This window comes from Homo sapiens, chromosome 3, assembly GCF_000001405.40.
Source record: "Homo sapiens chromosome 3, GRCh38.p14 Primary Assembly".
In the NCBI taxonomy this organism is placed as follows: domain Eukaryota; kingdom Metazoa; phylum Chordata; class Mammalia; order Primates; family Hominidae; genus Homo; species Homo sapiens.
In genome coordinates, this window is record NC_000003.12 from 198,057,208 (window position 1) to 198,082,328 (window position 25,121).

A 25,121-nucleotide genomic window follows, 5' to 3' on the forward strand; every position below is an offset into this window, starting at 1 on the left:
AGAGTAAAAGTAAAATTCCAACGGCCTTCAAGTCCCTAGATAACATGGCCTCTACCTCCCTCCCTGAGCTCAGCTCCTACAACTCTGTCCCATACTCACTTCATTCCCACTCTACATGAACTCTGCCACCCCTCATTAGTCTGAAAATGGGGATTCAATGTCAAACTCACAAATCACAGACAGCTACAAGTATCTTTGTACTGGACAAAGTTATATCCAAATGACAGTCATGGAGACTTGAAATGTAAATTATGAGCTAATTATTAATAAAAATATTCAAAGTAAATTATAAATACCTACCAGTGGGAACATTAAATCAAATATTTTTTGCTAAAATTTACCACATTTATTCCAAATTGTGATTTTATAACAAGTAGATGTCTTTAAAATATTAAGTGGTCAGAAAAATACATAATGTGAGACTGACATATTTTCAGACTTAAGTCACATTGATATGAATCAAAATAAAGTTATGCCAACTAAAATACATAAAAGAGCCACTGAAGGAAAAGCACCACAAGACAGAGCAACACACTTCAGTTCATCTGGGAAATCTAGAATTAAGTGTCAAAGTGGCTCACTTAATTGAATCTTAATTTCAAAATACTTATTTCAGGTACAAGATATCAATTTATCTGCTTCATTATGGTCTTAAAATGTGACAACATAAAGACATTAAATTTATTATTTCAGCAGTATAAGACTACATACTGTATGAACATTACTCTGTAGCTACTAAAATTTCATAGGTGACATAATGTGTTTACTCAAAGGAAAGCATCTGTCAGCTCTACCTTTTATTTCCTGGAAACAAGGTATGTTTCCAAGCTGATACAGTAAACATATTTTTTTTGTTTTTTTATTAAAACAGCTTTGCTAAAATATGATTTACATACTACAGAATTTATCTGTTTTAACATACAGTTCAAAGATTTTTAGTAAATTTACCAGTCGTGCAGTCATCTTTACAATCCAGCTTTAGAACATTTTCATCACTCCAGGATGATCCCTCATGCCCATCAGCAGTCACGACCCATTTCCAGCCCCAGCCCTACAGAAACATTCATCTTCTTTCTGTCCCTATACATGTCTTTTCTGGATGTTTCATGTTAATGGAATTATACAGTATGGTAAATACATTTTCATCTATTTATTATTATATTGAACTAGATTCAACATATAGCCACAATGAAATGTTTAAATTTTCTTTCTGGAAGGTTAAATATATTTATCTTTCTTCATACTTACTTCTCCTTCTTCTTTTACATACTGAAACAGTTTTTCTTTTATAGAATTATATTCATTCATTAGTTTCTTATTTTTCTCTTCTAGAAGATCTTTCCACTCTCAAGACAGCCTCCTTGGATATTAATTACTATCTCTTTATCATTGCCTTCCTTATGAGCACCCTCTAGTTGTCGTTGAAGCAAGAGACTGTCACATTCTAGTTGACATAGTCTCTCCTCTACACAGTTGTGCTTTCCGGTGGATCGACTCCTTTAGTTTCCTCATTTGGATGAATCTGCTCCATTTCCTTTATTCGATGCTGTGCTTGCCTTTGGTCCATCTGTACACTTTCTAAAGCCAATGTCTTTTCCCTGAGAGCATCTCTTATCTCATGGAGCTTACCTTTTAAGGTATTGAACTTCATCTGAGCTTTAGAAAATTGTTCAGTAAGCAACTCATTTTTATCTTTTAGTTGAGAAACAGTAGAACTTATTTTTTTATGTACGGAAAAATTATGTGCTCTCTGTAAAACAAGTTCTAGGTCTTTCGTTTCTAAACTTTCATTGTGCTCATTTATAGCAGCAGCCAGCCTAGAATGGAAGAATTCAACTTCAGCTTCCAGTCCATCTGTGTGGTGTTCTTCCTTCTCCAATTTTGAATTCAGCCTTGTATTCTCAGCTTTGAGGCCATTAAGCTGTTGACAATACTGGGACATCGTTTTTGTTGTCATTTCCTCATTGAGTCTTGCACTTTTTTCAAAGTTAGCATTTATTTCTCTAATACTCTTAATTTCCTGAATATATTCCTTTTCCTTTTTGACACTGTCATTTTTTATTGTGTATTATTCCTGTTTGAGTGTGGCAATATCTCCCTTCAATATGCAATTTGTATATATCACATCCTTCTTTTTTCTATAACTTTGAAAATCTTAAATAAAACAAAAGAAATTTTCAGCTAGCACTCAATAAAATAACATATCATGTTTATCTCTGAAGTGAAAGAACAACCTGTACATTCATGCAATTAAAAGTTGCTGTAAGTGGATATCCAACTGGAGAAAAAGTTGAAGCAAAACCTTGAACCTTAAAGAGCATAAATTTCAAAAAGTTCAAAACTTTATTTGAAGTCAATGAATCCATAAAACTAAAAACACACACATACACACTAGAGAACTGTTAAGAATATCAGAATTGGAAAAGCCTTTCTCTGAATTACAACAAACTCAAAGCATAAAGTAAAATATTAACAAATTTGACTAAATTAAAATATTGGAAAAAGGAAATTGCATTTATACTCTGATATCTAACCCAGATACCACCCTGTAGTAAGAGCTTTACCTCCACGTGTATTTGGACCGATAAAATTTCTCAAAGTTTTAGAAGTTCTGTTTCCCTGATAATATTCTATTGTGATTTGACTCAACATTTTTAGTCAGTTATAAGAATTTCATTTACTAAATCATAAATCTAGACATTGTACTAAGCACTTCTACGTACATACATTGATGAATTTCTTATCACAATTCTTAAAAAGAGAGGTTAAAAATATAAGCAAGCTGCAGGATGTTCCCAGGGCTTCTGACTCTACTTCTAGTTCTCCACCAGATCACAGTTACTTCTGTGGTGTAAATATATCAACACAAAAACAGAGAAACAAAAAGACACAGACATAAAATGTGTCTTCTGTCTTTGTCACCTGGATTCTCCATGAAATAGCCAGATTGAGAGGAGGTGACCTTGTGGGGCTTCAGAAACAGAAAAGAAGCTTTCCCTGTTCTGCACTAAGCTGTTATTTTCCCCACTGTCTTTTATCCTTATTTTTTCACTTGGATCCTGGGATATCAAAAAAGTGAAGGTGCTCACTGAAATAGAGGAACCAAAGTTTACCACAACTCAAGGAGCAGAGTGACACTGCTGAGTTGCTAGTGCAGAATCCTAGAAAATGAGATGTTCCCCAAGTTTACATTCAATCACCACAAAAGTTTATAGCTGGAAGATATACAGAATAGTTGTCTACTCTAGCCCCATTATCTACTTGATAATAGAAGTAAAACCAATAAATATTAAATAATTCACCCAAAGCTCCTAAGGTGGCATTACCTAGCACTTCATGGCACCAAAAGGGAAGATACAATTACATATTGCTGCATTACATAAATTACCAGATAAATATATCAAATTAGTCAAATAAATTAAAAGCGTGACTTTGGCAAAGCAATTTAATGCCTCAGAGGATGGCAGGAGGCCTCATCTGCTTTTAAGAAAATCTCTAGATTTTTGTCTATCTTTAGAACACAATGTACAGAACTCAGCTTTCCACTATAGAGTCAAATGATAAATATTTGGCTGAGAAGTTATGCTACTTACATGATAAAATCATACATGTCAAAACTTACCATATTTTATTAAACAACATAATGTAAAAGTGTGATTCAACAGAAACATTGGAGAGTGGTGATTTTTTTTAAATATGCAAAAGTATATGTATTTGTTTCCAAAAATATTTAAAATGGCCATTATGGAATTATAAGTTTAAACAGCTTGAGTCAGACAAATAAACTTGCATGCATGAAAGCACATTAAACAGACGCCTTTGGCTGATAATATTTGTTACAAGTCTCCAGGCTAGATACATTTTCATGTCTCTTCTCAGTCATTGTTTCCCTCCCATCGTGTTACCATTTTATCATTTAAATAAATGTAAGTCATCTTTAAATGAATACAGTAAGAAGAATCTAGAGCTTATTTCTTTAGCAATTTTCTTTATGTTTAGCTGATTCAGAAGGTCACATGGCATATGGCTAAATTATTTTCCCAGCCCATGTGCCACTTGGAAGACTGATAGTGAGACTCAGGTTGACTAATGAACAAAGATTATGAGAGTGTTTTCCAGAACTGTCATTTAGATAGCAGCACTGATCTACTTAGACACATAATTATGCATTTAGATAACCACACTGTAACTAGACACATGAGATTTTCTTGAGTAGAAAACCAGAATGAATCAGATAATTTATAAAAAGAGAAGCAGCAAGTGAACCTCTTTCTTTTTATAGTTAAGCTTTCTTTCTTCAAAGCCAGGAACTCTACTTGTAACATGCCCACCTCATTCTTAAGCCTTTGCATATCTTGCTGTAAGTCTTCTTCTAGATATGCTTTTGATGTTCTGTCACTATGGGGTGGAGAATAACTCACATTTTCTCATGCAGGTTTCATGCTTTTATAGCTATTAGCAGTGGAACTGTCTTATGTGGCTCCCTGAAACATACTTGCCAGTCATCTTCTAAGCTTTAGAAGAGCTTCTAAGTTCCATATGGCTTGTGGAACAAGTGCTTACTGGATTTTTGTTTTTGTAAGTGTCTGTAACAGCAGAAATACTGTGGCTTTCTATCTGTATCACATGCTTCATTTCTTTAGAGTAAACAAACCACAAATCAAACAGACTTTTTGGATCTCTAGACTGAGGCCAATGTCTAATGTCTAATTTCCAATTAACGGTATTTTGGTTTATATTTTTTTGTCATTTGCATATCAAACTCTTGGTCCTCTTTCATTTCAACCATAACTACTGGGTTCCCTAATTTTTCTATTTCTGTATCATTACAACAATTCTCTTCATCTCTGAGAAACAGGCTACATGTCTGGATAGTTACAAGTTTTACAGTCTGATTTATTTTCATTTGAATAAAGCTTAGAAGATGACTGGCAGGTGTGTTTGAGGGACCCAGAGTATAAATACAATGAAAAGACAGGTTTGTGATGTTCTCCTCCTGTTCAGGCAATGCCTGGGATACTACAGAGTTCGACACTCCAAGATGCATCTGCTTCCTTGCAGTCAGGGACATGATTCATTGGGTTAGAGGGCACTTCCTTTAATTTTGTCCCTCTTTAGAGTAACTATGTAAGAGCTCTTCCTCAGGACAAACAGTAATTTTGGATTTTTCAAAACTTTCACCAATTTTCAGTTGAACTTTCTTGTAATTAATTTTAAAGGAAGCCCTGAATATACAGATAAACACTCTTTATCACAATTCTTACTCAGTTCTGGTTCTTGAGACATTTTTTTGCAGGTGCAAAAGTGGAAAATTAATTTGCTTGTTTTGTTTCTCAGATGTCTTTTCTGTTAGGGTGCATGTTTTAAAATTAACTTTATTCTGAATTAAGTATGAATAAAAAAATAGAAAATAATTAAAATGTAACTGTAAAACTTAATCTATGTTTTGCTATCCCTAAGTTACTGGATTATAACTAAGAAGTAAAAAATAGTTTGCCTTGGCTTAACATAGGAGAAAAACATGAACCAGCAAGCTTAACTCTCACTGTTAGTTTGGACTAAACTTAATTCATTATGAATTAAATCTGCCAGAAATGGGCTCACAGATGATATGTAGTATTCTAAAGGCTTTCTCTCTTAAAAGGATTTTGACCTCAGGATACCATAAATAGTGAACCCCTACAGTAAATTCATATTTCTGAAGATTAACTGGAGAGTAGGCAAATGCTAAACTATTAGAAGCCAAAATGAACACCAATCAGAAAGAGAATAAAATTTTTAGATTCTACTTCAAATGCTATACTGTAATATGAGTGTTATCTAGATAGATTATCCACTTATATCCAGTTCTAATATACTCTAAGTCCCACTAGTGACAATGGATTAAAAGATTTTAATAACATTTACTATTTATACTAAAATAAGAAGGTTATTGTTTGTACCCTGATACCAAAGTCCCATTCTGGAAGTCATAATTCTCTTAATAGGCAGCTGGGTTGATTTTATGACCCCATTCTCTCCCTGAACAAAGACACTGAAGGCAACCAGAAACCAAAAAACAGAAGAAGTCTTTAACCTCAGCACTGGTGACCAGCAACATAAAACTGCAGAGTCTGAACCACTAGCAACGATGACTCCTTTAACACGAGTTGAACTCAGTGGCCATCACTGTTAAATTGTTCATAATTTCTCTTGCTTAGTAATACAACTCAATTTTTGATGTTACTTTCTTTGTCATGAAGAAGCTTATAAAAGTAAAAGAGCAAAGAGACTTCTGGAAATTTCTGGCCTCAATTCCAAGGGTACAGATAGCTATGAGTTACTGCAGACTGTAAGGATATTTTAAATTTTATAACTGGCTAAAATGTTTTAAAATTAAGTAAGAAATTATGATCTGTCTGTTGGATTCTAAAAGGACAGTCTAAAAGGTCACTTCTTTTGGACTATGCTGTGTTATTAAAGAAAAACCAACCAACCAATATTAAACCAGAAATTTAAATTGTTACATACCTCTGGCTGTTTATTTTCACTTCTTTCAAGCGTTTCTTGCTTTTCCTCTGAAGCCACTTTTAAGTCGTGTTCTGCAGACAAATCCATATGTTTAGTTAAAATGAATGACTTAGAACACTTAGATAAAGACTATAATCTTTATAAAAATGGATACAAAATAACATATACTTTTATTTTATAAATGGAGAGTTTAAATGAAGCTTAATGTTTACTGGAATATTTACATTTTAAAGAAATACTTCTAATTATCTAAAACCTCAACAAACCACTTAAGGAGACACTAGATATCAGCAGGTTCAAGCCATGCAAAAGTCTCAGGGTCACCCACAAATTATTCCACGCAAAATAAATAAGCAAAACTGCTGGAAACAAAGTAAAATTTAAAAATATAGTAAAAACATATAAAGTAATACTTTATTCTCTACTTCATAATAGTATCTTTTCAACAACATGCTAAGTGAGTTGTTATTTACTAATAATTTGCAAAATTTTGTTACCATTATACCTTTATTAGTGTATATCCTGATTTTTACATCTGAAATGTTTTCCTCTACTATTCTGACAAATTTATTTTCGTGTTTTAAGACTCTGAATGTAGGCTGGGCACAGTAGCTCACACCTGTAATCTCAGCACTTTGGAAGGCCCAGGAAGGAGAACTGCTCCAAGCCAAGAGTTTAAGAGCAGCCTGGAGACCATAGTGAAGCCCTGACTCTACAGAAAATTTGCCACGCATGGTGGTGTGTGCCTGTAGTCCCAGCTACTCAAAAGGTTGAGGTGAGAGGATCCCTTAAGCCCAGGAGTTTGAGTTTGCAGTGAATCTCGATCATGCCATTGCACTCCACCCTGGGTGACAGAGTAAGAACTTGTTTCTAAAAACAGAAAAAGAAAAAAGAAAAAATGACTCAGAATGCTATGTGAAGTCCTCCTTGAATCTGGCTGTATTTCTCCACGTACACAGGCGTCTCCTTCCTTGGGGCTCCCTTAGTACTTTGTCAAGTTTTCTAGTGTCACTCCACCATCTGAACTGCACATCATGTCTTTGCATGTCTATCCCCTTTGCTGCTAGACTGTAGCAATCATCTTCGTATAAACAGTCTTGATTTTACTAGATATTCATGGAGTTCCTGCTAAGTGGTAGGCACTGGGGTTTCAATAACGGGAATAAAAGCCATCGGGGATGGCTTTTCTAGAGACCATGCCTGAGCTGAGACTTAGACAGAGAGGCTTACCAGATTAAAGGAGGCAGAGGGCAGGAAAGGTAGCACATGCCAGGCAGCGGCAAGAGAGGGAGAGAAGCTTCCCAGAGTATATTTTTCTACATGAGAGGGATGGTGATGGGGGCATTACCAGCAGCTCAGTAATGCCAGAAAAAAGAGCAGACAGAGAAGGGGCTGCAGATGGAGATTTGGGCAGAAGCCAGTTTCTGAAAGCCTTATATAAACCAACTATTATTGTCATTTCTTAAATTTTTTTTAAAAGCAAAATAAATTTAAAAAGCATAATTCCAAGAAAAAGACCAACATTTTATTTTATCTTATCTTATTTGATTTTATTTTTTATCAGAGATGGGGTCTTACTCTGCCACCCAGGCTACAGTGTAATGTTGCTATCATAGCTAACTGCAGCCTCAAACTTCGAGGCTCAAGCAGTTCTCCTGCTTCAGCCTCCCAAGTAGCTGGGATTACAGGTGCAGAACACCACACCCAGCAACATTAAAAAAAAAATTGACATGGGGTCTCGCTATGTTGCCCAGGCTGCTGGACCTCCTGGCCTCAAGGGATCCTTCTGTCTCAGCCTCTAACACTGCTGGGATTACAGGCAGGAGCCACCATTCCCGGCAACACCAATATTTTCAAATGAATAAACTGGAGCTCCATCATTTTATTTTATCATGGATGGGTGAAAACCTTGTAATAAGACATATGTACTCCATGGATTTGTGACAAGGCAACTATAGCATTAATTATGGCTGAAGCTTCCCTTGTCTCCCAGTCGCTTTACATGGTTAAGAGTAGAGACACATAAGTGTCTTACCTTTTGCACCTTCTTCTCCTTTTTACAAATTTGCAGGCTTCATAGCTGTTGTTTCTGTCAAACGTGCAAGTTGTTAGATATTCCTTCTGCAAAACATCACCCCTCTGCCTCCTTACATGGCAAAGTTTCACTCGCTCTGCATGCTTACCCTAAATCCCATCCATGTTTCAGAAGCTTGTGCTCATCACCACAAATTTAAAGGTGGATGGCATCTCACGAACATAATAAATACCTAGTAAATAATAACTACACGCTCCCAGGTGACATCTATCCTCCATCAATCCTCTACATAAGGGGTCAGCACACTGCAGACCACAGGCCAAATCCTGCCTACCATATGTTTTTTCTCAATAAAGTTTTATGAGAGTACAGTTGGGCCTACTCACTGACATGCTACCTGTGACTGCTTTCACACACAATGGCAGGGTTGAGTAGCTACAACAGAGACCACATGGCCTTCAGCTGCTTAAATCTTTCTTGAAAAGAGACAGAGAGAGACCACATGGTCTAAAATATTTCCTACTTGGCCCTTTACAGAAAAAGCATGCCAATCCCTGAACAGAATGCCCTAATTCTCAAATCTAATCTAATGCCTCCCCGGCTCACGATTTTCCAATGAATTTCTAGACCAAACACTGCTGGCTCCCTATCCAAGAGCAGTTCCTTATTGTTTCTTGCTGGAGAAACACAAATCTATTTGGATATTTATTATCCCAATACCCCTCCCCAGCTTTAAAAGAGAAATGATTATTCTAAGCTAATCACATTTGCTTTCCCAGTGCCTGGTTTAGGAATGAGCATGTGGTGTGACCCAGCCAATAAAATATTACAAAAAGGGCCAGGCACGGTGGCTCATGCCTGTAATCCCAGCACTTTGGGAGGCTGAGGTGGGCAGATCACAACATCAAGAGCTCAAGACCATCCTGGTCAACATGGTGAAACCCCATCTCTACTAAAAATACAAAAATTAGCTGGGTGTGGTGGCACGCACCTGTAGTCCCAGCTACTTGGGAGGTTGAGCCAGGAGAATCGCTTGAACCTCGGAGGTGGAGGGTGCAGTGGGCCAAGATCATGCCATTGCACTCCAGCCTGGTGACAGAGCGAGACTCTGTCTCCAAAAAAAAAAAAAAAAAAAAAAAAAAAAAAAAAATTACAAAAAGTCCCCTGCATACTTCTGGGTTTTCTCCCAATTTAATAGACACATGTGAAGAAAAGCAGCCCTTGTGAGAACACGATGTTTGGAGCTGTTGCTAAGTAGCCAACCATGAAAGGGGAAATGAACAAGATACTGCCAACATTGTAGCTGAAAGAGGAACAAGTGGGACCCAATTATATCACTGGACAATCAAAACAAGTCTGGTTCTTATGGTTTTGGCCACGGTTAGTTAGGTCTTCTAGTATTTACAGCCAAAAGCATTCTACCTGAGAAGTTTCCCCTGGCCTACAGGATAAGATCTACTCATTTCTATACTATTAAAAGTCTTTTATTAAACTTGTTTCTAGACACAGGTCAAACAACAACAACAACAAAGTCTTTGCTAAGCTTGCCTTCACTGGCACATACTGAACATAATAAATAATAACTGTAAACTATTTCCACCTCATTGCCAACCACTCCTATACACTTTTTTTGCACTAGTAAATTTGAACTGCTCACAAACGCTACAAAGCTCACTCAGGTGTCTTACATTTTGAAATTGCTCCTCCTTTTCTAAAACTTTCGTTCTTCATGGCTGCTGCTTCTGTCAAACATGCAACTTGTTAGATATTCCTTCTGCCAAGCATCATCCCTCTGCCTCCTTATTGGCAAAGTTCCACTCACTCTGCATGCTTACCCTAAATCTGACCCAGATTTTAGAAGCTTGCATTCATCACCACAAATGTAAAAGTGCCTGGCACATACTGAACATAACGCATACATAATAAATTATAACAATAAGCTCCCAGATGACATTGGACACACAGTAAGCACTACATAATGTAGTAAATAAAATAAATGACAATGGTATTCACAATCTCCTAAGTGTATTTTTAAAATGTATTTTGTAACATTGGAAAAATGCTTAGTCCACTAAAGACACATGATAGTTATTTTTTAAGTGGAAAAATGTATGAATGAATTAAAATATTTTTTCTTAAAAATTCTGGTTAAAAAACACAAAAATTAAATAGTTATCTGTATTCTATTATGAGCACCTTAAAGACAAAAACTATTCAATTCCATCTTTGTCTGCTGCAATTTGCCAAACCTAACTTATAGAAGTAGTTTGATAAATATGTACTAAATTAATGGTGCCTTTATACAGTTTAGATTGTACAATGCATTAGGCGTTATATTTTTGTTACTGTGAACCATTTTTTTTTTTTTTTTTTTTTTGAGACGGAGTCTCGCTCTGTCGCCCAGGCTGGAGTGCAGTGACGGGATCTCGGCTCACTGCAAGCTCCGCCTCCCGGTACTGTGAACCATTTTTATAATTTTATTATAATTTTTTGAGCCTAGAGTTTGGCTAATGGAATATTTATTAAGATCATCTTTTGCCTAATGGTAACAGAGCATTTTTTTTTTTTTGAGATGGAGTCTTGAGTCTTGCTCTGTCACCCAGGCTGGAGTGCAGTGGCACAATCTTAGCTCACTGCAATCTCCACCTCCTGGGTTCAAGCAATTCTCTTGGCTTAGCCTCCCAAGTAGTTGGGATTACAGGTGCCTGCCCTCATGCCTGGCTAATTTTTGTATTTTTAGTAGAGATGGAGTTTCACCATGTTGGTTAGGCTGGTCTCAAACTCCTGACCTCAAGTGATATACCTGCCTCAGCCTCCCAAAGTGCTGGGATTACAGGCATGAGCCACCATACCCAGCCTGGTAACAGAGTCTCTTGTTCTAACAAAATTAATATTATTATGATAATTGTCCAGCACATTTTTAAAAACAGCTTGTTCTAAGAAGTGAATATATCTCATGAGGTTCCAACCTATGGAGAATGAGGAAAAAAATAGACCTTGTTTGTAGAAGAATATGTAACATAACTTCTGCTTCTTGTAAAGGAATTACTTTCCCATCTTCTGCATTCAATAGGTATCTTCAAAAATAATCTCCTATTTGTATGGGTGCACACTGGCTCAGTTTTATGGTCCTTATTGCCATTTGTTTATGGTATCAGAAAGGGATTTTTGAGTTCCCAGTTCTAAAGATAGTTACTTTCTTAGTGACACAAATTCCTGTGTAATACAGTTGACTCTTGAACAACAAGAGTTTGAACTGCAGGGGCCCACTTATATGTAGATTTTTCTTCTGCCTCTGCAACCCAGAGACAGCAAAACCAACCTTTTTTCTTCTTCCTCAGCCTAATCAACCTGAAGATGATGAAGATGAAGACCTTTGGGAAGACTCACTTCTGCCTTATGAATAGTAAGTACGTTTTTTTCTTTTCTATGACTTTCTTTATAACAGCTTCATTTCTCTAGCTTACTTTATTGTACAAACATAGTATATAACAATGCAGCACATACCAAATATGCGTTCATGGACTGCTTGTGTTATCAGCAAGGCTTCCAGTCAATGGTAGGCTATTAGTTAAGTTTAGAAGGAGTCAAAGTTATACTCAGATTTTCAACTGCACAGGGATCAGAGCCCCTAACTGCCACATTATTCAAGAATCAACTATAATTAATATTTATTTACTAAATACAAACCATTTATTATAAAAATTAAATAGAAGATCCATTTGCATCAAAAGTCCAATTTGTAATAATGTGATTATAGAGGAAAATACAACATACTAACTTAAAAATCTAATTTCTTATTTATATTAATACAAAAATATCACGTCGAATTTCAGGGAACATAAGTAGGTAAATGCATTGTTTTCAGACAATACTGTGAGATTATGAATTAGCTACAACTAACTTCTTAACTCTGAATTCTAAACTAAATAAATTAAATTTAAAAAATGTATATACATATATATTTTAAACTGCTCTTTTATGATTAAAACTATGTAATCTTACTTTTTTTTTTTTTCGGAGATAGAGTCTTGTTTTTTTATCCAGGCTGGAGTGCAGTGGTGTGATCTCAGCTCACTGCAACCTCCACCTCCTGGGTTCAAGTGATTCTCCTGCCTCAGCCTCCTGAGTAGCTGGGATTACAGGTGCCTGCCACCATGCCCAGCTAATTTTTGTATTTTTAGTAGAGATGGGTTTTGCCATGTTAGCCAGGCTGGTCTCAAACTCCTGACCTCAGGTGATCCACCTGCCTTGGCCTCCCAAAGTGCTGGGATTACAGGCATGACCCATCATGCCTGGCCTGTAATCTTACTTTTTAAAATCAATAAGACCACCAAGAGAAATGAGAAATTTACTAAAAGAAGTCCTACCTTAATTGTCATTTTGAAGATGATTTTAAAGTACTTATTTTTAGGTTCCAAAATTTGTTGTTGAATGCTATGCATAATAAATGTAATAAATAAAATTACTATTTTAATAGTGACATGAAAAATATTTACCAACTATGTTAAATTCTTAAAGCATTTCAGACAATATCAGAGCTAATATCAGAACTCTAATGTCCTATACACTTTAAAATTTTAAGCTCTATAAACTTACTAAGCTTCTAATTAAAGAAGAAAAACATGAAGTACTCATAAACTGAGAGAAGCATAGCTCAGTAAATTAATTCTAGTTAGCTTAACATCCTGGAAAGTGTCCTGCACTCAGAATAAGTCCTCACTTTGTAACCAATAGGTATTTTGTTTTCAGACCAGTTGCTTCTCTTAGGCTCCATGGCTTTTTCTAAAAAATAAGGATTTTACTACCTTACTTCACTAGGCTGTTAGGAGGATGTAATGAGATAACATGTTTAAATATTCAGAGAAATAGTAAAGCAATGGAATAATTTATTCTTGAACTGTATTGCTGAAACAATTTTGGAATCTCAAAACCTGATGGGTGTTTTTTCATAGGTTCTAATATTTGAATGTCACAGTTTTCAGAAAATGTTATTAAGTGCTAATTTTGGTTATTAGTTCTATTCATTGTGGCTTGTAGTTCAGAGCATTTTAGCTAATTCATAACTTGTAACTAAATTTATATATAAATATATTATTATCTCATTAAAATAGATTACCTAATTGTTCCCTATTACTGAGCTCATCAATCACACCAAGGGCAGAAAACTAATAAATATCAAAACCTGGCTTGGACAACTACCATTCCTTCTCTACCTCCTCAAACTCAGAGCCAGCAGGTCTGTGTTAGAGGCTGCGTCTTCTTGGTCCTCTCCAACTGACATACAAGACAAAACCTGCTTGTCTTGTTTTTCGGTTCCATGAAAGAGATGCAAGTTGACGTTTCCTCATTTCCAAGTCATGGACTAACAACATGTTTGCATGTAACATCCCATATGTTACTCAGCGCTGTTCTCATTTCACAGATCACCTTACGTGAATACTTTTATAATAACAGTAACAACAATTTCAATATTGGATGTCTCCTGTTTTGGTCTGACTTGCACTGTTTCCTTGGAGCTAGTTAACAAATAGTCAAATGACCTTCTGGGGACTGTGCAAAATGTGGAATGCTTGCTGAATTTGTGTGCCATCCTTAGGCAGCAGCCATGCTTATCTGCTCTGTGTTGATCCAATCTTAGAATATACGCTGCTGAAACAAGCATAAAGCCCTGTTTTATACATGGATACTCATGAGTCATGGATGAGGCTTAGCTCTGTTAAATCCAAATTACCTAGTTTATATACGATAATTCTATTGAATGACTTCCTGTGAGGTAGAATTTTTAAATATTTTAAAAACTTGGGGTAGAGATGCAAGTAGCCTGAGAGATTTTCGTTGTTATGGAAACATGTTACTTGAGGGGCCAACTGCAAGTTGGTGCCCACTACTCTATTGCAGGATAATGTGGAACCTTCTGCTATCTAACAAAAGCTGCTACACAGGACAGAAAAAAGCCTCAAGGTACAGACGTGATAACAAAAGGGAAAGGGACCTCTGATCTCTTCCTGCCACATTATTTGAATGTCCCTGACTGCTGAAGACAATCCCAACTAACATTTGCTAGAGAAAAGATGAATACAGGTCTCAAAGGATAACTTACCATCAAGGTCTAGGCTAAGCCTAGCTAAGAGGTGGGCAACAAATAAGGTTTTTAGTGTTAGGGGAGGGTCAATTTACTCACTATGTGTGTGGGTAAAGCCAGGAGGCCTCGCTGCCAGAGCAGTGTGCTGGGAACAACGGCTGAGCATATGTACATGAACTAAAAAACACTGTAGCTGTGAGCTTTGTGTGTGAGTCACCACAAAGACTGAAGGGTCTGAATCAGTAAAGGCATCACTGTAGCTGTGAACTCTGTGTGTGAGTCACCACAAAGAGTGAGAGGTCTGAATCAGTAAAGGCATCCTGGTGGCAAAGGTTAGTCATTACCAGATCGCAGGACCAGTTACAATGGCAGCAATACAAGTGAATCAATGGAAACAGAATATTTAGAATGGCCTTTTCCCCCTATCTTCTGACTTGTAAAGCAAGATTGTCTTCCTTGGACTTAGGGAACCCCTTAGCTTTTTGAAAAATTCAAAGGATGAAGGCATAGGAGATAGCCCCAGGGGACAATCCAAGACTTTCTGCTAAACTGGACATTTCAAGACCCAATAACTAATTAGAAAAGTCAGGCCAGGCATGGTGTCTAGCAGTTTGGGAGGCTGAGGCAGGAGAATCAGTTGAGCTCAGGAATGTGGGCAACATAGTGAGACCTTGTCTAAAAAAAAAAGAAAGAAAGAAAGAAAGAAAAACAAGTAAAAATGTGACGTTATTTATATCTCACATATAAGGTTATATATAAGGTTATACTTGGAATAAAATGAACACTGAGATCCCTGGGGATAAAGGTCTTTAAAAGTCCTGAAAGAATCTTGCACTCATTGCTACTTCTAACTAGTCTAGCTTTCTGTGTGATTTCTGGCTAAACAATGGACTAATCACCAACAGCAGGTGCACTTGCCTGGTTCTTCACTAAAAATGCCACCATTTACTGTCTCTTACAAATTACAGCAAGCAAAAGTGGTGTATTTCCCTCCTGTAAGAAAGCAAAAACAATGTGCAATTCACAAAATTACATATTTCTCAATTGAACTAAAAATCTCCTATATGATGCTATGAACTTAAACTTACAATATAGCAAGTAAATGCGGAGCAGTCCCTTCCTTTTCACTCCTCTGTGCTTTCCCACACACTGCCTTGCAAACACCCCTCCTCTCCCTCCCCACGTTAACTTTGATCATCTCCAAAACTGACTTTATTTACCAGTCCTGAAAATCCTTGCTTCTATCACAGCATTTAGCACAATATGTTGTAATTATTTCACTGTTTCCCACTGAAACCAAGAGTTTCTTGAGGGCAAGGGCTGTGTCCTTTTTCTCTACAACCCTAAAACCTAATACATAGTAGCAAATGCTTTAGGTTTTTAAAATAAATTAATGATGAAAATTATTATCTTTAGAGCAGTGTTTCTTAAACTATCTTCCAAGGAATATTTGTTTTACCAGAAGAACTGTACCCCAACAGAAAGATGCCATGATCACCTGCATTTGAGAAGTATTACAAAACTGTATTATATGGTCAACAATCAAGAAATCCCTTCAACTTTGCCTAATTCCAATTTGACAATACTTTTTGTGGCAAACGTTAACATTTTAGGAACTAGAGTTTCAGGGATACAGTTGCCAGAACTTCCCAGTTCAGGTGGAGGTTTCCTCTGGGTGGTACAAACTTGCTTGATTTACTTCTGTAAATGGTGTCAGGATCCAATGTCAATGTCAGGCACTCCTGATCCGAATGGGTCACTAAGGAAATGAGCTCTGAATTAAGAGAGACTGGCTTCAATGCACTTATTTTCATTATTATTAAATAGTCCATGGGATTTCTCCTAATACAAGAGGATAGATTTTTATCTTAACTGTTAGAAAGCTCAGTATATTCTGTGTAAGAGAGACAGGTTAAAAGTGTTTGAAAATAAATATTAAAAAAGCAAAGCTCAGTAAGAAATTTTATTCTCAATTATAATGATAACCCTGGGATGCTAATGCAACTTTACTTTTTAAATCCATTTGTATTGGTTTCCATTCAAATTGCTATTTAACATTTTTTTTTTACTTTAGGCAAAATGTAAATCAGAAATAAAATTACAATGGCTTATCAATAAAAGTTTTAATATTGATGTATATGGCTTATTTCTAGCATAATAAAAGCCAATAAGTCACTTGCATTTTTAAGGGACATTGTTGAGAAGCATGACATAATGTTTGCAATATTCATAAACTAGCCAACTCTCACCAGGAATAACCTAAAAAGGCTTCCAGGCATTCTTATGAGCAGATGACTACTTGTGGTATACATATAAAAAAGAGCTAAAAAAAACTTTTGAATTCTAAACTTGAACCCCATAATTGAGGGATTTATAAACTATAGACTATATATTATAAACCAATATACACTGTCTTGAAAATCTTGAAATCTTTATGAAAATATACTATAAAACAGGAGTTGTAAACTCAAATACTTATAAGGATGAGGAGATGACCTAAGTAAGTGAAGTACTCAGGTGGGCACAGAAGCCAACTGGAGAATCTGTGCCTCCTACACAGGGCAACCTCTGCACAGCAGACCAAGCAGTGATGCGGTTCCGGGGACACCAGATTTGATTCTTAAGACAGGCCTGAGGTCCAGATTTCTGCATGAGTCTACTAAATTTCACATGCTAACTCAACTTAAAGAGGCAAATGAACAAATCTATGTGCCACAGTTAGACTATAGCCCTTGTGTATTTATAGTTTCCATGAATGTGTACTAAATGATTTTGTATAAACCAAGTATTTGCATGTGAAACTTTTTCTGTCTCTAGTATCATGTGTTTTATATAAAAATCAGCCCCTGATATATATATAATAAAAATTGCTGTTAAGACTCATAATACCCACCTGAAGAATTTTCCCAAAATTTATTCATTTGAAATCTGTTTGTATATTATTTTCCCAGATTGTTAACCAAATAGATAATTAGATCATAAGACTGCCGAAACTAACTTATTAAAAGAATTCCTATAGTATTCTCACCGACTTCATGGATTTCAGTGTTTAAAACTGACATCCTGATTGTGCCAAAGCTCTATAAACTTAACAGACATACTGACATAGTCCATAATACAATTTCAACTGAAAAAAAAAAAACGGTTCAGGATTTGCTACTAATCTAATTGAGAAAATTTCACTTGTAATGAACATTTGTTGACACATAATCACTTGAATGGTGACAAAGGAACATGAAATTGTGAAAGGGTCAGGCTTTACCTATTGAAAGATTACCCACAAGCAAATTGCTAAAGGCTCTCTGAATGGCAGTGAATGATTCCTGGTGGGAAGGAAAAGGTGTGTTTCTGTAAGCTGAGATATATTGCCAGCAATATTTCCTTTTACTTTCCAGTCACAAATGTAGAGAAAGATAAGTCAGGCTAACATTATTGGAAAGGAGAACTTTGAAGAAAGTAGCACCTATCAAATGCCAACTCTTTTAGAGATTTCTTATGTTTTTGAGATACGGGAATTTATATACTGCACTTACCTACTCTGTGGTTCTCAATCAGGAGTGTATTCAAACCCTGAGGTGTTTTTTTTTTCTGTTGTTGTTGTAAGAGACAAGAGTCTTACTATGTTTCTCAGGCTGGACTCAAACTCCTAGGCTCAAACAATCCTCCCACCTCAGCCTCCTGAGTAGCTGGGACTACAGAAACAAACCACTGTGTGCGGCTTCAAGAAAATATTTTTAACCATACCTGTTCAGACCTTATTAGCTCAGTTACATCAAAATCTTCAGGGGAAAGCCTACATTTGTACACTTTTAACAAAATTCCCCCAGGTCACTGTAATGCACAATTCTAGCTGAGAATTACTGCAGAGAATTACTACTGCTGAGAATTACTACAATCACTTCACTTTCATCACTCACCCACACCACCAATATCCTTTATCAGCTTGGGATGTGGCCAAAAAGAGAAAAGAGTATGAGATAGAGTTATTTATTAACACTCCAGTTAATTTTCCTGGCTATGGGTAGAACAGGGACAAGTAAACTCGAAATCCCACTTGATTTTGCTATTTATAAGCTCCTTATCTCCTACCTTCCCACCAAGACATTCTAGATTTGAGAGGAGAGTTTGGACTCTTGGCTAAGTGGCTGTTTTTGCCAGGATGGGTAATAAGTCAGTCACTAATTCGTTCGATCATTTGCTGAAGTGTTTCTCACTGCATCACCAGCTATTCACAGCCAATCTGGTTTCCTCAGAGTCCTCTAAAAATTAATCTTTAAGCAAGTTTCAATCACTTTGTTTACCAAACCAAAAATAATTACCCCAAAGCTGAAGAGCACTTTGTCTCAATACATAAACTGGAAAAACAACAAACTAAAAAACAAAACCTCTTATTAGCATTTTTCCTCATTACCTAATTTCCAAGTGACCTACATGTTTTTGATTGCTCTCCTTTTCCTTCCCCATTTTTCCCTCTTAAACTTTGCCACTGAAAGGCACATCAGTTTTTTTTTTTTTTTGAGAAAACTGTCAGCAGCAGCAAGATTTCCATTTATTGCAAGTTGCTTCAGTTTTGTTTTGAGTTTTAAGATAAAGCCTATTTCCAGGGTAAATTCTTTTCCTGTGTCTGCGTGTGTGTGTGTGTGTGTGTGTGTGTGTGTGTGTGTGTGTGTGTGTGTTTTACGTAATTAGAAAAAAAAATACACCTGGGGTAGGAAACAAATACTTGAAGAAGTTTTACCTTAACAAATTCACAAATACTTCCCATAAGTGCACTAAACAAGCTGTGCCCTCTAATGCTTCTTTAAAAGTATCAATATTTAAAGTAAAACCTGAGACAATTAAGCTATTTCAAAATATTTTCATTCAGGAATGCCTGATCATCCAAATATGAAAAATTGACTCTTACCTATGTCAATGTTAAAACAAATATTTTGAAAAGAAAGTTGATTGATCTATACCTTGTTTAGTGCTTCAGTATTTGCATGGTGGGAAAGCAGGCTTCCTGCCAGTGAAGTCCCCTTATCATAGACAGCATCATGAAGAGCAGTGTTGCCGTAGACATCCTCAATGTTTACCATCATGAAGAGCAGTGTTGCTGTAGACGTCCTTAATGTTTGGACTGGTGCCATGTTCCAGCAGAATAATGGAACACGTCTCTTCCTGGCAATATACAGCCTGTCAGTGTTAGATGAAAACTTAGACTATAAATTCTAAGAATTCAAAATACATATTCCACAGGTTTCACCAACTAGTTATATTTAAATGAGATACATTCATTTTAATTCTATGTATTTAGTGAAATCTTTTTCGTGCTGAGAGAGTTGGCTGCTGTATACCTTCATTAAAGGCGTCCTGTTTAGTCTGTCACAGATGTCGATCTGACATTTTCTGCTCAGCAAGAGAGTGACCACTTGCACACGGCCGTGGGCACAGGCCAAATGTAGAACAGTCCTAGGAGAGTGAGAGGGGTTTTCAGGAAATTGTAGTGCAGTATCTCAAAACCTACAATGGTTCATGTCATTGTAAACATTGAAGAGCATTCCTCTGCCTTCAAAACAAATAATTTTCTTTTGAAGAAAGTACATTTATTAGCTCTTACTGCTCACTCCCTTAATGAAACAGCAGCCTATTTGGACAGAATGAGCTTGGTGTTTGGATTCAGTTCAGCTGGGGCTTGAGTTCTACTTTGAACTCAGCCACGTACCAGGTATTGCTTAGCCTTTCTGTGCCTCATTTTCCTCATTAATAAAATAAAGATGACAATAGCAGCTAGTTCACAGGACACCATTGTGATGCTTAAATGGGAATCTATGTAAAGTATTTAGAACCATTTCTAGAACAAGCAACAACTCAATAATTGTTAGATTGTTGGTTTTTTTTTTTTTGAGACAGGGTCTTGCTCTGTTGCCCAGGCTGGAGTGTAATGGTGTATTACATATATTTCATATATTAATGGTGTATTACATATATTTCATATATTAATGGTGTATTACATATATTTCATATATTAATGGTGTATTACATATATTTCATATATTAATGGTGTATTACATATACTTCATATATTAATGGTGTATTACATATATTTCATATATTAATGGTGTATTACATATATTTCATATGTTAATGGTGTATTACATATACTTCATATATTAATGGTGTATTACATATACTTCATATATTAATGGTGTATTACATATATTTCATATATTAATGGTGTATTACATATATTTCATATATTAATGGTGTATTACATATATTTCATATATTAATGGTATATTACATATATTTCATATATTTCCTCACTGCAGCCTGGAACTCCTAGGCTCAAGTGATCCTCCTGCCTCAGCCTCCTGAGTAGCTGGGACCACAAGAGTACACCAGCATGCTCAGCTAATTATAAAAAAAACCTGTAGAAGGAATCTTGCTTTGTTGCCCAGGCTGGTCTCAAACTCCTGGCATCAAGGGAACCTCCCATACTTCTATATCTATTGTCACTTTCAATGGTCACATATTATTCCATCCTATGGATGCAACTGAAACTTATTTATAGGACACATTCTGAGGGTTCTTTTTAACATAAATGCTGAGAAAAACAAAGTACACGTATCTCTATTTTCTAAAGGTATTTTAATACAATGGAATTGATAGGTAAATGGCATATACATTTTTAAAATGTGGTAATTACCACCAAATTATCTATTTGAAAAGTCATCAGCAACTTAAACTTTAGGCAGCAGTGTAAGTACCACTGCTGTTTATTCTCACAAACATTGTGGATAGAAAAGAGTCTCATTCCTCTTTTAACTTAAATTCTTTTACGAGAAACACTAAGGACTTTTTCCTATGTACATAAGTAACTTGTGGATCTGCAGAAAAGTACGTTGCTCACTTTTAGAGTTCTTTTCTTGTGGATTTGATTTGAAAGAATTCCCTATAAAATAAAGATGTGCTTTTTATCTGTATATAAATAACTGATATATATAACATTATGTCACTATTATATACAATTTTTTATATGTATAATCAGTTATATATCATAATATATATAATAAAAAGTAAATTCCCTGTAGGATGAAGATACACTTTTCATCTGAATATCTATTTATATATATATTAGTAAAAACATATACATAGTAAATATTTTTCAAGTATGTTATCGTTTGTTAATTTTTTTCTTATACACAGGGGGGTTTTAATTTTTTTTTTTTTTTTTGAGACAGAGTCTCGCTCTGTCACCCAGGCTGAAGTGCAGTGGCGCGATCTCGGCTCACTGCAACCTCCACCTCCCAGGTTCAAGTGATTCTCCTGCCTCAGCCTCCCGACTAGCTGGGACTACAGGCGCGTGCCACCATGCCAGGTTCATTTTTTGTATTTTTAGTAGAGATGGGGTTTCACTGTGTTAGCCAGGATGGTCTCGATCTCCTGACCTCATGATCCGCCCACCTCAGCCTCTCAAAGTGCTGGGATTACAGGCGTGAGCTACTGCGCCTGGCCTGGGGGTTTTAATTTTTAGTTTGCTAAATCAACCTTCAGAATGCCTGCTTGTGAGGTCATTCTTAGGAAGGCCTTTGGCAATGTAAAATGTACCTGTATAAATAAGCATTTGTGTTTTCTTCTGGTACTTTTCTCATTTTGCATATGTAAAAAATTCAATCTGTATTCCATCAGGAACTCATTTTTGTGACATAAAATTTCATTAGTTTTCTTCAAAGAGCAGGCATTTTATTAACAACTCAACCCTTCCTACTCATCTGAAATGTTACCATTATCAGTCCTTACATCTATATCTTACATATATTTCAGTGTTTCTGGGTTTCCATTCTGTTCCATGTATTTATGTCTTTTCAGCTGATAGTAAATAATTGTGGGAATTAATAGCACATTTTGATATCTAGAGGAGCAAGTCTTTTTTTCACTCCATTATAAAAATTTTTAAATGTCATCACAATATTAAGACAGCAGATGTCGTGCAAAAATGATAAATCCTTGATATTTTCATTCGGTTTATGTAAAACTGATAAACATGGAAAGAGCTCATGTTTTGAGAAAACCGAGTCTTCCCATTCAAGGAACCCGCCTCCCACTTCCAAGTGTCCCTCTAAGAAGCTCCAGTAAAGAACCTGTCTACCTGGGTGGATTCGGATGTAAAACCGACACAGGCTTTTATCTGAGAACTTTCCGCCTACTGAACATGACTCATGGTATTTTTGACATGGGAATGAGTTCTCATTAAGCACCTCCATGACCCCACGTTTTAAACGAGTATATGCTTAACTTTGTGAGTTGAATCACTCAACTTCTCCACCAAGTGCTCCAGGCGGGGAATTGCCAGCGATGGAACGCAGCTGAGGCTCCGTTTGGCTCCGCCGCTCTGAGGGTGCCCAGCGCCCTCCAAGGCCCCCGTCCCAGGGGCTGCGGGGCTGCGGGGAAGCCGGGCCTGGGGACCCCCTCCCACCCCGGCTGAGCCCCCGCTACCTGTCCTGGGCATCCACGTCCCGGCACCTGCGCGCCAGGCGGCGCTCCACCTCCGCGGCGTCGCCCTTGAGGGCCGCCCTGTGGATCTTCCGCAGTTCCGCGTCCCTGGTGTGGTACGCGGGACCCGGGTACTCGTGGTCGATGGAGCCCAGGACCGCCCGGCCCGGGCGTCTCCCGAAGCTGAAGAGCTTCCTCATGGGGCGACTTCTCCTCAGACGCCCACCACCGGCTCCTGAGCCCCCGCGGCTCCTCGTGGCCTTTCCACTAACCCTAACCCCAAACCCGAGATGTAGCTCAGAATCCGCGACCCGGCCGGGTCCACCACAGCCTTCAGCAGCGACACTCGCAGCCTCTGACCTCTCAGCCCGCGAAGCCGTTAGGCGCGCGCCTGCAGCTCAGCGCCCGCGCGGACTCCGGAAGCCGCTCCCAAGCCCGCGCTGCCGGCAGGGGGCGGCTGCGGCTCGGGCGCAGGCGCCGCTGGCTTGCGGGTTCTCCTGGGCTCGCCCGGGACGTCCCGTAGTCGCAGGCGCGCAACCCGCCCGGCCTGAGGGCCCGCCTGGCCGTGACCCCCGCCCCGCTCCTCCTCCGAAGAGAGATCGGGGCCGCTGGCAGGGGCCCTCCGCAGCCACCAGGGATGGGGCTGTGGGGCAGTTCCCGCCCCGGTGCAGCCGCCGCCGGGCAGACCGCCTGGCTTGGCTGCAGCCGCGGCATCTGGCTCCGGTTCTGCGAGGCTGGGAGCTCCAGCGAGCTTGGGAGCTGCCAGGCGGCTGCTGCGAGCAGGCAGAGGGCGCCTGGAGCTTGGGCCCTCAGGCGGCGGAGCATGGCCTGGGCGGCCTCTGGATCGCGAGTGCACCTGGCCTGAGAGCCTGCCAGGCCCTGCCCCCGCTCGGCTCCTCCTCTGCCGGAGCTCCGGACCGCTAGCCAGGGGCCCTCTGCAGCCACCGGGAATGGGGCTGAGGGCGGGTTCCCGCCCCTGTGCAGCCGCCCCAGGGCCGACTGCCTGGCTCGGCCGCAGCCACTGGTACATCTGGCTCCGGTTCTGAGATGTTGGGAGTGCGGGCGGGCTCGGGGGTTGCCTGGAGGCTGCTGCCTGCACACAGAAGGCGGCTGCAGCTTGGGTGCCCAGGCGGGCTGGAGGGGCATGGCCTGGGCGGCCCCGGGATCGCCAGCGCGCCCAACTGAGGGTCCCCAGGACGTACCTCCCGCCCCACTCCTCCACCGCAGGGAGTTCGAGGCCGCTGGCATGGGCACTCGGCATTCACCCCGATGGGGTTGAGCGGCTGGTTCTCAGTTCTCGCCCCTGTGCAGCCGCCGCCGGGCAGAATGCCTGGCTTGGCCGCAGCCCTCGGGACACCTGGCCCTGGTTCTGCGATGCTGGGAGCGCGAGCAGGCTCGGGAGTTACCAGGCAGTTGTTGCCTGCACACAGAGGGCGACTGCAGCTTGGGCGCCCAGGCGGCGGAGCATGGTCTGGGTGGGCTCCAGAACGCGTGCGCGCCAGGCCTGTGGGCCCCCCTGGTGGTGCCACCCGCCCCGCTCTTCCTCTGCCGGAGCCTGGAGCAGCTGGAATGGCCACTCTGCAGTCACTGGGGATGGAGTTAAGTTTTCTTATCCCATGCATGCACACGAAAAGGTAACTATTATGTGAGGTAATTAACATGTTAATTGACTTCATTTTGGTAATCATTTCAGAATGTGCATATATAAACATATCACACTGTCCACCTTGAATATGTGCAATTTTTATTTCTCTATTAAACCTCAGTAAAGCTGAAAAAATTAACAAGATCAAAAGGATAACCCCGCAGTTTTATAGTAGTAGTTGGACACTTCAATACCTCATTTATGGGCAAGGACTTCATGTCTAAAACACCAAAAGCAATGGCAACAAAAGCCAAAATTGACAAATGGGATTAATTAAACTAAAGAGCTTCTGCACAGCAAAAGAAACTACCATCAGAGTGAACAGGCAACCTACAAAATGGAAGAAAATTTTCGCAACCTACTCATCGGAC

The 25,121-nt window shown here is 38.6% G+C and overlaps 2 pseudogenes across 1 annotated transcript, besides 1 other annotated feature; both read right to left on the reverse strand.

The window, feature by feature from the left end:
* Nucleotides 1–323: 323 nt before the first annotated feature.
* Nucleotides 324–23,486, reverse strand: ANKRD18DP (ankyrin repeat domain 18D, pseudogene; annotated as a pseudogene). Its single transcript, NR_003291.2, has 10 exons — nt 23,109–23,486; nt 19,967–20,081; nt 19,589–19,805; nt 15,549–15,623; nt 12,916–12,982; nt 12,053–12,109; nt 10,234–10,287; nt 8,546–8,599; nt 6,511–6,581; nt 324–2,154 (listed from the first exon to the last, which is right to left on the reverse strand). The product of NR_003291.2 is annotated as an ankyrin repeat domain 18D, pseudogene (transcript).
* Nucleotides 14,104–14,210, reverse strand: RNU6-821P (RNA, U6 small nuclear 821, pseudogene; annotated as a pseudogene).
* Nucleotides 19,591–19,885: a silencer, noted in NCBI's record as "tiled region #12303; HepG2 Repressive non-DNase unmatched - State 21:Repr". NCBI's record gives its function as "represses a minimal TATA promoter and a strong SV40 promoter by Sharpr-MPRA in HepG2 cells {active_cell/tissue: HepG2}" and the evidence as "EXISTENCE:reporter gene assay evidence [ECO:0000049][PMID:27701403]".
* Nucleotides 23,487–25,121: the final 1,635 nt, after the last annotated feature.